The following is a 12645-nucleotide window of genomic DNA, read 5'->3' on the forward strand; positions in this document are numbered from 1 at the left end:
TTTTTCATGATCTATCCTTTGATATTTCTGTCAATAAAAAAATGCCAGGCTGGATGGTCCAGAGGGCTAACACAGTAGGATGGTTCCCACATTCTTGTTTTTAAATAAGTATTTAAAAATTGCATTAGCTTTGGGGGTACAAGTAGTTTTTGGTTACGTGGATGAACTAGAGGGGTGAAGTCTGAGACTTTAGTGCACCTGTCACTGGAGTAGTGTACATTGCAGCCAATATGTAGTTTTTAATCTCTCAACCCCCAATATTCTTCTGTCTCTACCTAGTTAATGCCATCAACTCCCTTATGAAAGCAAATCACAAACATGTGACAACTTGGAAAAAAACGCCTTGCAATCGGAAATATCTTGACCAGACAAGTCTAAGTAAAATGTGGAGCGTAGAAAGATGTTCCAGCACATGTCAGCATATGGTGACTTTTTCCACACCCAGCTGCTATTCATATGAGCCTTCAGAATTCTGATCACCAGTTTAATCTGATGCTGACCCTGGTCTTTGTGAAAATTCCAAACAACTCTTCTAATCCAGCGTGGGGAGAACCAAAGTTCCCCATGGACATGTTATTCCCAGAGTAACCTTGCTACAAGTGCTTTCGGCTTTAGAGGATTTATGAATCCAGTTGCCACCATATCATTGTCCGCAATGACATCAACTCAGGCCTAAAAAAATTCAGGTCTCTCCCATGTAAAGTGGCTTTCCTACATTTAGATCAAACCTTTCTGAGCAGCATGGGGCCATTCTGAAACACCTACTTTTTTTGTTTTCCCTAAATTTGATGATTCTAAATATGAGTAGATAGCTCTAATACAGCCAGCAGTTACTGAGTGTACTCAACTTTCATTTGTATCAACTTACATGAACAGCTTGCTTAAAAGAATGCTTTGGAATTGCTTATATGATAAATCAAGCTTGTTTTGTGTTTTTATGGAAACAAAATAGATCCCCATATGTGCACAGGAAAATTGGCAACTGCCAAGATGGTATTGTTACCTGGAATCCTGCCTTGAGATGGATCCTTTAACCAAGGAGATCCAACAAAGCCGGACCTCTGGACCAGCAGTCTTGGTTCTCGTGATAGTGAGCAAAGAATTGCGAACTAACCCCGAAATGCAAGCTCAAAACAAGGCTTTCTGAAGCACAGTAATGCACTCTCAGAGGGAGAGTGGGGTAACCTCTGCGAAGTGAAATCAGCCCCTCTTTATAGAGCTCAGGGTGCGTTTATGCAGTTTGTGGGGAGGAGTTGAGGCTTGGGCTGTGTTTGAGTGACAGGATTGTGTCATTTGATTAGCAGTTTATGCTTATATCACTGAACTTAAACTGCACGTCTTTACTTACACTTTGTTAAGGAAAGCCCACTCAGAGGGGCAAAACCACATGTAAATTTTATTATAATGACTGTATAATGAGGATGAGGTTACCCGGGTTTATGGCCTAGATGGACTGGGCATGCGCCACGTAAGGGGATTTTTTATCTGTGCCCAGTTCTTCTTTCTCCAGGATGTGCTGGCCACAGACTTTACCACAAGCTGCATCTATCAGGGTGGAGTTAGGGTGGTCTTGGGGGCTGAACTTAGGTGGGCCAGGGCCTGTCTTAGTGATAGCCCTTCTGCCCTCCTCTCTCGCCCCCTCCCAGCTGCTAATGTCTAACTACCTAACATTATGGCTGGGACACTATGTTCCTGCAGTAATGCCAAAAACTGTAGTACCAAAGGGTAAGCCTCCCTGATTCTGCCCAGCCATGGGTGAAATTTCTCCAACTCTATGTAGGAGGAGAGTGTTGTAATAGACCGTTTCTAAAGTCCCTTCCAGTTCAGGGAGACTACAATCTCTGAACAAACACATTCCTGTCATCCAGTGGAAAAGAGGCCTTCAGGGCCCACAGGCGATAACTTTTATTTTGCAACTTAAAAAACCCACCCCTCAGTCGGCCCTCGGAGGAGTGCGCCAGCCCTGCGGAGGCAGTGTCTACACAGGCCTCGCAGCTTCCGCCTAGCACTCCGCAAGGTTTCCGTTGCATTGTGGGGCAGGGACCACCGCGTTGTGGGTGTGGGGAAGGAGATGTGTGGACAAAGGGCGGAGTGATGGGTCACAATGTGCAGAAGGATGGTTTAGGTGGAGACGTCGGAGGAAGGCGAGCAGTGGCGGATTAGGCTCAGGCTGCTGTGAATGGGTGTCAGCCTGGGAGGCCCGGTCCAGTGCGCCCCCACATCTGCCCGCTCTCGATGGGATGCGCACAGTCTCGATCCTGGCACCAGTATCGACCTCAGCTGGCACCAAAGGCCTGAACAGAGGGTAATCGGTGTCCCCATTCCAGCCCAAGCCCCGCCTTCCTGGGTGTTCTGGAGCAAAATGGGGGCCTGCGCAGGAGCCCCGGGTTCCAGGGAGACCTGGCTCAGCAGGGCAGCCTGTGAGATGTGGTGAGAAAGGTGTGGAGCGGCCATCAAGAACTGTCTTAATGAAACATTGCCATGAGCCGTGAATCTATGTAACCATATTACTTTGTGGAAAACAGCCAGCGGAGGGCAAGTTTAACAGCTCCACGGGGAAGCTCCAGGGACAGCTGTGCAAGAGTGTACTGTTTTCAAGTACACATCGTTCTGTTGAAAGAAAAAAAACTTTAGACAAATTAAATTGAACAGAGTTTAATTGTGCAAAGAATGATTCATGAATCAGGCAACACCCAGAACAAGTGGAAGTTCAGAGAGCTCCCTGGGCAGGGATTATTTATAGACAGAAAACTGGAAGTACCCTACAGAAATAGCTTGATTGGTTACAACTCCGGCATCTGCCTTTTTTGGACATGGTCTGATCAGTGGGTAGCCTGTGATTAGCGGAAGTTCGGTTGCTATGACTGGCTGTGACACAGCTATTTGTTACAAAAATATGCTCCTAAATTAGGCTTTCGGTTTGTTTACCTACTGAGTTAGGTTGTGGCTCCTGACACAGAAACTCAAGGTATGGAGGCAGCCTCAGGCCAAAAATAAGTTAATTTAACAGATTTTTGAAAGAGACTTTTTCCAGATAGCAAAAGAAGAGCGATGATCCATCTATACACCACGGGAATGGTGGCTGTGGACCTTGTATCCACCAGCACCAGCCGGGAAATACCTGACGCCATGCTGCTGGGCTGACCAGAAGTAGCTGAGAGGCTGGGCATGGTGGCTCACACCTGTAATACAGGCACTTTGGGAGGCTGAGGCAGGTGGATCACCTGAGGTCAGGAGTCCGAGACCAGCCTGGCCAACATGGTGAAACCCCGTCTCTACTAAAAATACACACACACACAAAAACTAGCTGAGCATGGCAGCAGACACCTGTAATAGCAGCTACTTAGGAGGCTGAGGCAGGAGAATCACTTGAATCCAGGAGGTAGAGGTTGCAGTGAGCCGAGATTACACCACTGCACTCCAGCCTGGGTGACAGAGCGAGACTCCGTCTCAAAAAAAAAAATTAAAAAAAAAAAGTGGCTGGGCTGAGACATCCAGGGTAGAGGCTGTAGGCCTGTAAAGACCTTCGAGGCAACAGGGCTGCCTCCTTGAGGTTTGTAAAGACAGTCATCCACAGTCATGACAACAGTTCCACCTGAAGCTTGCCAATGGCCACTCATTTCACCTGCAGCCGTGCCCCTGCAGATGCAAAAGATCTGGAAAAACCTTGTTTATCCCCTAAGACCACCAATGGAGGCTTAAATCTGTACCCAGGCCATCCCACTGAGGACACAATGGGAATACCTGTGTGGAAGGCAGAGCCCAGCGGCCATGGTGCTCCGTGGAGAAGAGAATCTGCATCAGGCCGGCATTAGGAACTTCCCATGGTCTCTAAGGTGCTTGGGGTCACCTCCTCTGATTATGCTGAGGGGGAAGAAATTCAACACGTCTCCAGCACATGTGTTCATGGAAGGGCACTCTTCTTCATTCTAATTGCAATGCAACCAGTGCTCAATGAAGGGGCAACAGTAGCGGTAACAACAGGCACCAAAGCAAGTGCTATGGACACACAGGCCACCCAGTCTGCAGACTCAGAGCACATTAAAACAGCACCAGCAAGAGCAGCCTTTGTGGATCCAGTAGGACATGGAACCAGCACATCAAGGCAGGTGTGCTCAGAGGATCTTTAGGTAGTTGGAGCAACTGCTTACAAGCACTTCCCTGCGCTCAGAGGCTACGTCCTGCATGCCAGGAGGAGCTTCTGGTCTCTCCCCAGAGAGCAGCCCAAGTGTGGTGGCTGAAGGAGCGGAAATGACTGGCAAGCCTGCTGCAGAAACAGTTAAAGGCCTAATGGCAGGACCCCTCGTCTGGGCCTTGCTGATGAAGGATACGCGAGTGAATGGATGAGATGGAAGCCAGAAAGTCTCCCATCCCAAGACTGAAGCCCAGAGAGAGAGAGAAAGGTAAAGGACAGAACTCCCACAAGACGCCATTGCCATCACCAAAGGACTGGGGCACACAAGTCAACCCTATGAGCATTCATCTTCTGGTCCTGAGCAGAAGATGATCCCTGCAAGGGACCAATAGGGATGAAAAAATGAAAAGGCTAGAGCAGTTCGGGAGGCTGAGGACGTGGCTTCTCCTCTCTATGAAAATGCCAGTCCCGTTCTCCCCACAAAGGAGTCTAGGTTATCTCAAAAACTGCTGGGGAGCACACACCTATACTGGCAGCTACTCAGGAGACTGAGGCGGGAGGATCCCTTGAGCCCAGGAATCCAACACCAGCCTGGGCGACATAACAGTACCTGTCTCAAATAATAATAAGAAGAAGAAGAAGAAGAAGGGAGAGTCAAACTATGACAAGTTTAGGGTCTTAAGCAAAAATAACTCTTTGCGAAGTTCAGAACCTGCTTTACTCACCTGGAAGAGAGTAGAGAGGTGGAATCAAGTTTGAGACAGCAGAAAAGGGCAGCATGGAACACTACACAGTCAGGCAGAGTGTGGCAGGGGCTGGGGATCACTGGGACCATAGCCGAGATGAGGGGGACAGTAACTTTAAAGCCCATCAAAAAAGGAATCAGAGCATGGAGACCAAGGGGTTTCTGATTTAGGTGGCCTTGATTTAAGTAAATAAGTACAAACAAAATACATTCTTAGAATGAAAAAAAAAAAAAACCTGTTAGCTATCATCCAAAGGCACACGTCATTTCATCATGAAACTCACGTATATGCATTGGGAAGAAGCATTGTTTGAGGTAGGAACGGAAGAGTCGCACACCTGAGTGAAAGGGTGACCATGGCTTGTGCTGGTCAGCAGGAGTTTCTTACCTTCCTTCTTTTTCTCCAAAAGGCATACATTTCACTATTGAGCTTTGTGATTCCTAAATTGTAGTGGGTCTAAGAATCATCTGGGGTGCTTTTCTGAAATGCAGATTCATGGCCCTGGACAAACTGAACCAGGATCTCATAGAGTGGGACTATCTTACATGATCCTCATGAGATGATCCAAGGTGTGGACTCAAGGCTAACATTGGTACATGGTCCAATGTAAGAAGTGGCCTTGAGAGTTAACAAGTAGGTTTTCGTGTAAATGTGCCCATCCTTTTGGACTATGCATTGGTTCATTTCAATCACAGCTACTGTCAACATTTATTCATTAGTTAACCAATATTGGAATAAGAGTTTACTATGTGCCAGACACTGTTTTAGCTGCTTTATTAGTTGAACCTTACATTTTTTGAAGGTCTGGTTTTTAGAATGCTACATGCAGATTTGCCTGGTGCTCTTTAGCTGGTGGCTGGCATGTCATTGTATGAGTGAGTGCTATATGACCGACCGTTCCTCCTAAGGGAAAGGGCATGGGAAAGAGAAAAGGGACAATGGCCCTCTTTATCCTTTTCCTTCTGACAATAACCTTTGCAAAGTATAGAACATTCACGGACTTTCCAAGGCTTTATAATGTTTTATTTATTTAGAAATATAAATAAATACACTGTGAAATATGTGATGGGGGAGGTTGTGAAGCAACCTTCACATAATACATAAGAAATTATAAATCTTTCTATTTTGAGACAGTGTCTGCATTGAGAAACAGATAAATCTATCTACCCCTCCTTTTAATCAGTAATCTTATCTCCAATAACACTGGAATGCACTTGCAGTAACACTTGCTAGGCTGGAGAATAGGTTAATGAGTAGAACAGCATACATATTTCAGGAAAAGAAATAGAATGCTTTATTGCCTCGCGATACCAAATAATTGCTTCTTTCTCAGCATTGTCTTGTCTCAGCCTTGTGTAGTATGTAGGAGAAAGAAAAAGTCTTTCATCGAACGATAGTCACCTTTAGAACATCGTTCTGCTCTGGTTTTATAAACCGAGAGAATGAGAGGTCTGCCATCTTGACATGTGTGGTCTAAGGTCTAAAATTAAGGCCGAGTGTTACGTGCTGCCTTGACATCTGTTGAAACTGGGAGGCCTTGAATGTTCTCACTGCAATTTCCCCTCCTTGCTCTGCTCTTGTGGATAAGGTCCCTTGGCTGAACAACTTTCCTTTCAAAGGTAGCAGAGGCAGTTCCTGCTTATCCTGGAGTATCCTGGGGTTTCAACTTCCTGCTACTTTTCCGAATTGTTCAAACAAGCCAATCACTTCCTCCTATGAACCAACAGACACCTCACCCTCTTGATATTACAAAGCCTGCCTCCCGCAGCCCCTGGTTGTCCACTCTGTTCCTGAATACAACCCTACTTGGTCTACGGTGTCGCCCCCACTCCCCGGGCAGTGAGTATATCTGACTAATAAATTGCTGTTAATCTAACCTTTCCGTTGTTGGTAGTAGCATCTTCAGCCATCCTTATAACCCTAGGACAGGAATCCCTCCCTCACCAACTGAATGAATAGGAGGTGATTAAAACATGTTTTATCCACTGAAATAGGATCTTTCTTAAAATAAAATATATATGTGTAATTTTAGAAAGCATTAAAAATTAAGTATTTTTTTCACCAATACTAAGATAACCAGCAAAAGGGCTACTTGGATATTTTCTTTTTACTGTAGCTTGTCCTCTTAATAGTCTGGAAGCAAAAATATGAAAGGCAGGCCAATTGCACGGTGTCTTAAAGGACCACAGGTTATCACAGTCACTAGTGAGCCCAGAAATTAGCCAATACTGGATGAAGGAGGAAATTCTCAGGAAGCTAACTAGGCAAATACAAGAAACAAGGCCTCCCACAAGTTTATTTATATCTGGATTAGGAGTATGATAACACCTATGGGTTGACTCAATAAAAATAAGAGCTCACGTCACAAGGCTCACATAGGACAGCAGGCATCATGGCTCTAGAAGAAAGGTTTGATGGGAAAGAAGGGAAGAGAGTCCCAGGAGGTATTACCATCCAATCACTTCTCTGACTCTACTGTACATGCCAAGCAGGGGCAGAGCAGCCCTTCTTGATTTCTACCCAGGCATGATTTTCATGCCCTAGTGCCAGGTAGCAAGGCCGTGAAGGCCCACGCAGGCTCAGTAAGGATTACGTTTTGTAAAGGATAACCTAGGAGTTGAAGCCAGCAACAGGGAAGAGGGCTTTGACCTACTGAAGGCAGCACTTGGTTTGGTGGTTGCCTTCGCTTGTGTTTGTGACTGCCTTCGGAGTGCAGTGCTGAAGTGAATCATACAAGTTATCTGCACAACATCAAATGCAGCTGGCTTTTCTAGTAACAAAGTTGCTACCATTTATTAGCAACTACATGGGTGCTAATCACACACTGGTTTATTATCTTCTTTAATCCACTTAATTTTTCAAGTTAAGTACTCTTATCTACCTACATCTTGCAAATGAGGAAACGGCATTAAGCAACTTATTCAAAGTTGCATAGCTCTACAAGGAGTAGAGCCTGGACTCAAAGCTAGACCCAGGGTTCAATCTTTTTTTAAAATCAATTTCATTGTATATATTTGAGGTTTACAACATGATGTCATAGGATACATATAGATAGTAAAATGGTTACTATAGTGAAACACATGAACATATCATTTCACAGAGTTACTGCTTTGTGATGAGCAGTGAAAATCTACTTATTTAACAAACATCCTTAATACAATTTTATTAACTATAGTTCCCATGCTGTACATTAGATCTTCAGACTTTTTCATCCTACGTATCTGCTACTTTGACCTACATCTCCCCATCCCACCCCGCTGCCTCTTGACCTTTTTGTTGTTGTTTAGATTCCACATAAAAGTGAGATCATGAAATATTTTTCTTTATATGTCTGGCTTATTTCACTTAATATAATGAAAGTTGTGTGTGCGTATACACGTATATATGTATGTATGTATTATATATAATGTATATATAATGAAATATTATTCAGCCTCAAATTAGAACGAGATTCTGCCATTTGTCACAGCATGAATGGACCTGCAGGATTCATTCTTAATAGCACCCAGGGTGTGTCTGAGAATTTCTGGGGAGAAGGGACTAGAAAAAGAAGGTTACCTAGGACTATCAACTCCAAGTACAATGCTACTAAGAAAATAGGCCATGTCTTTAATACAAGTATAGGCAAGTTTGTTTTTGACAGAAGAAAAAAAAAATCAACCAGGTGTCCCACAAGCATATACCATTAGGACCCATTCACTGTAGACTAAATTATAATAGACTAGTCATATAGAGCTGAATCCTTTAATAGAAAGTGACGTTATAATTAAATAACATGAAACAAACACATATTTACATTGTGTGTTTTCCTGTCACTTCCAAATAGTTTGCAACTTATTGTACAAATTTATTGAAGCAGTATTTTCTGTTCTACAGAAAGCATAATCCAAAACATGGGTGCTCTGAAGGGCACCGTTCTGCACTGGTTATGTGTTTCTCTCTCTTTTCCTTATGTAAGCGTGTTTATATTATATAACATCAATACCCATAGTAGTAGCCAAATGATGTTATGCTAACTGATGGGAACAGAAAAGTACTGCAGAGCTCAGCACCTCACAACAGCCCTTCCTTCTGATGGTATCTGGTAATTAGAAGCTACTCACCTTGAGAACACACCCCTTGTAGATCTGTAATTAGTTCAGTTAGTTTTACTGCTTCTTTGACATTGATCATAGTCTCCTTTGAAGTACCAAAAAAAAAGAAGAATAGGAAAAACTGACCCGGTTCATACCTGGTGACTTTTATCAATGTCTCTTGTATGAATCTATTGTTATGAGGTATTTTAGACATACTGATTTATAATGGCATTTACAGAGCTTAATGTTAGGTCTGAAAGATTCACTTGTAAATTACATAACTTCAGTACATTCATGCTAATTGTGTTGGTTCAGAAAAAATGTTTAAATTGACTTCAAATCACTATGTTTTGGAGACACTGCCTTTCATTAAACCTGCTCATGGTAAAACCAGACTACTTTAGTATCCTTCACTACTTCAGTAGTTATTGTAATTAGTATTTATGTGCACTATTTAAATATATAATTATCTGCACACATATGCTCTATCACCTCTAATTTGCTTTGACTCCATTGTTGGTGCTGTCGTTGTTGTTGTTGTTGAGACAGGATATCTCTCTGTTGCCCGGGCCTGGAATGCACTCAAGTGCAGTGGTGCAATTACAATTAACTGCAGCCTTGACCTCCTGGGCTCAAGCAGTAATTCCTTTTTAGCCTCCCAAGTAGCTAGGACTATAGGCATATACCACCACACCCTGACTCTTCCTTAATACACTGCAAGTTTTATGTTAGGATGGATATATGTCTTCTGCCTCCACAGGCTTCAAAACTCCAAGCAGAATTATCTGAATATTGTGAACACACACACACATACACACACAACAGGATGTTGTTGGACAATAAGAGTTTCAAGTCAATTTCAAGTCAATTAACAATATTGTAGCTTTGTAAGTATCTCACAGGAATCAAACCTAAATGACTTTTCCCAAATACAAGCCCTCTCTTGGGTAGTTTTTATCTTAGAGTAAAACACTTTCAAATTACTTGTTTGTAGTTTATATAATCAAATGGCCGAATGCTTTGCTCCTCTGAGAGCCAACATTAAAAGGAAATTCAACATCTAAGTATTCATTTACAAACCATCTTACTGTATCTAAAGACTAAAGATAGTTTAAATGTATATCCTATTTCTAGGTTATGCCGATTTATCTACTTACCTTTTTCCCAGCTTTTTCATTCAGATCCCATCGGTAATATTTTATTTTCCCAGCCCATATATGCAAGTATTTCTAGATCCATCAGTTACCTTATAGGTGTTCCTTATTTAATAAAGTCATATATATATATGTCCAAACTTCCCCAGTGGTTAAATTGGGAGACATATAATTTTACATTACAAATAATTTTTCACTTTATAAAAAGGAGCTCTCATCCCTTTTTTCTATAAATATCATTGATTATATTTGTAAATGAAGAGTTCTGTGGTTGGATGGTGGTGATGATAGCACAAAAATGTGAATGTATTTAATGCCCCTGAACGGTACACATAAAAATGGTAAAGATGGCAAATTTTATATTATGTGCATTTTATCACAATTATATATACATAATTATTACAATTATATATATATATAATCACAATGATATATATGCATATATATGTGTGTATATTTGTGTGTGTGTATATATGTGTGTGTGTGTGTGTGTGTGTGTGTGTGTGTGTGTATATATATATATATATATAAATAATTGAGGCATCTCTGTGGGCCTGCACCGTGCTGGGTGCTGGGGCCAGGACACTGAGTGAGGCAGAGATCATCACTACCCACACGGAGCCTGCAGTCTAGTGGGACAAACATCTAGTCCACTGACCATGTAATCCAGCAAATGTGGCCTAGTGCTATCAAGGCAGGAGATCAGCAGGACTTGTTTTTGGAACACTGGTCATGACCCCAATCAATCACGACCCCGCTGATTGGAGCAGGATCTGGTCAAAACAGGGTGCAGTGAAGAAGCTGGCCAAAACCAGTAGATGGTGATGAAAGCAACCTCTAGTTCCCCTCACTGTTCATTAGCATAAAGACACTCCCACCAGTGCCATGACAATTTACAAATGCCATGGCAATGAACCACGGCAATGGCCCATAAACAGTTACCTCTTATGGTTGCAGAACATCCCTGCCTCATTTCCAGAAAGTTCTGAATAACCTGCCTCTTAATTAGCATATCATTGAAAGTGGGTATAAACACAGCTGCCAACAGCCCATACATTGCTACTCTGGGCACATTGCCTATGGGTTAGCCCTGCTCTGCAAGGAGCAGTCCTTTGCTCCTGATGTACAATGCTGCTTCAACAAAAGCTGCTGTCTAACACCAGCAGCTCACCCTCCAATTCTTTCCTGGATGAAGCCAAGAACCCACCCCTCTCAGGGAGGTCATGTGAGAGATAGCCTAAGCGTTGTCATCTTACCTAAAAATTTCCAGCCCTTTCTCCAATGTCTCTACATGCCTGCCCAGATTCAGCAATTCTTAGAAAATAACTGAGAAGTAAAGTGTAGACGAAGGAAAGTGTATATTGGTAAAAGCATATTAACTTTTGAAACAAACGAATCCCACCACTGCAGTTAACACAGCACACGTTTTTTTCTGCCTCAGTCATCCAAATGAGAATGTGGTGCTGCCTGCTCCTCAGAGTCATTCAAGAATCCAGGTTGCCATAGCCCTGCCCTCTTAAGTAGTTGGCTTCCAAAATTGTGCTAACCATCAACATCCAGCAAGCAGTTGTTGGAAAGGAATAGATTACATGTGAGAGCTTTCGCTTGCTCAGACCTAGACAAAGTGTCTATCACTTTCACTCACATTCCTCTGGATAGAATTCCACCTGCAAGGGAACTTAGAGATGCAGCCTGGCTGTGTGTCCAGGAAGAAGAGGAAACAAGTTTGATGATCACTTAGCCATCTCAGTCTCATCAAAGACGCTGTGGTTCTCATATACAAAGAGTTATAAAAGTAGGAATGGAGGACAGATGTTGGAAACTGTATTTTATTTACTCCTTTGCTTATAGTTACAGGGATCAGAAATTAGGAGTCAAAAAACAATAATTTATTGTTTTATAATAGAAGAATATGTATCAGAAATTTGGAATAGTTATTAACTTCCCTCAACTAAAGATCTGGAAAAGGAACTTGGTTACAACCTACATTCAGGAAGGGGCTCAATAGTGATTCATATATAATATATGTTGGCAAACATTAAATTAGTCTCTACTTACTACAAGTAAAGATAAGAAATAAATGGAGCCTATAAAAATTTGCTCAGATGAAATGAAATATCATATGGAGACAAATTAAAAATGCACCCCTGAATGTGACTTATTACAGAAATCAGAAGAAAAGCACCCTCAGTAGACTGTAAGACTGCAAAGCCTCCAGGAAATAAAAGGTGTAAGTACAAGCAATGAAAAATCAAGATGAAAGAATGGTCATGTAGAGAAAAGGAAAGGAGAGGGTTATTTATGACATTGGACAGGATCAAAAGGACACTAAAAATACAATGGAATAATTCACTGTTGAAGATGTGTAAGGCACAATTGGAGTGGATGAAAATGAGTTAGGGATATGGAAACAAAGTTGAGTTCTTACAGAATGAAAATAGAGTGGATGGATGTGAAAAGATGAAAGAAGGAAGGTAGCTATGATCAGAGAACTCAGAGCATCGTACGGGTAACTTAGGTTCTAGACAAAAGGT

General features: G+C 42.4%; 1 long non-coding RNA gene across 2 annotated transcripts in view, besides 2 other annotated features; it reads right to left on the minus strand.

Annotated features, from left to right (window-relative positions):
- Window positions 1515–1684: an enhancer, noted in NCBI's record as "active region_27044". NCBI's record gives its function as "activates an Ori minimal core promoter by ATAC-STARR-seq in GM12878 lymphoblastoid cells {active_cell/tissue: GM12878}" and the evidence as "EXISTENCE:reporter gene assay evidence [ECO:0000049][PMID:35858748]".
- LINC03019 (long intergenic non-protein coding RNA 3019) overlaps window positions 1864–12645 on the minus strand; it is a 45630-nt gene continuing 34848 nt past the window's right edge. The window contains exons 4-5 of one of the 2 annotated variants that reach the window (NR_152742.1): window positions 3745–3929; window positions 1864–2610 (exon numbers count right to left, since the gene is read on the minus strand). This is a non-coding gene — a long non-coding RNA (long intergenic non-protein coding RNA 3019). The remainder of the gene's footprint in view (window positions 2611–3744; window positions 3930–12645) is intronic. The other variant, NR_015383.2, reaches the window with a different exon arrangement.
- Window positions 2945–3154: an enhancer, noted in NCBI's record as "active region_27045". NCBI's record gives its function as "activates an Ori minimal core promoter by ATAC-STARR-seq in GM12878 lymphoblastoid cells {active_cell/tissue: GM12878}" and the evidence as "EXISTENCE:reporter gene assay evidence [ECO:0000049][PMID:35858748]".

The sequence above is a fragment of the Homo sapiens genome, chromosome 8, assembly GCF_000001405.40.
Source record: "Homo sapiens chromosome 8, GRCh38.p14 Primary Assembly".
Classification (NCBI taxonomy): domain Eukaryota; kingdom Metazoa; phylum Chordata; class Mammalia; order Primates; family Hominidae; genus Homo; species Homo sapiens.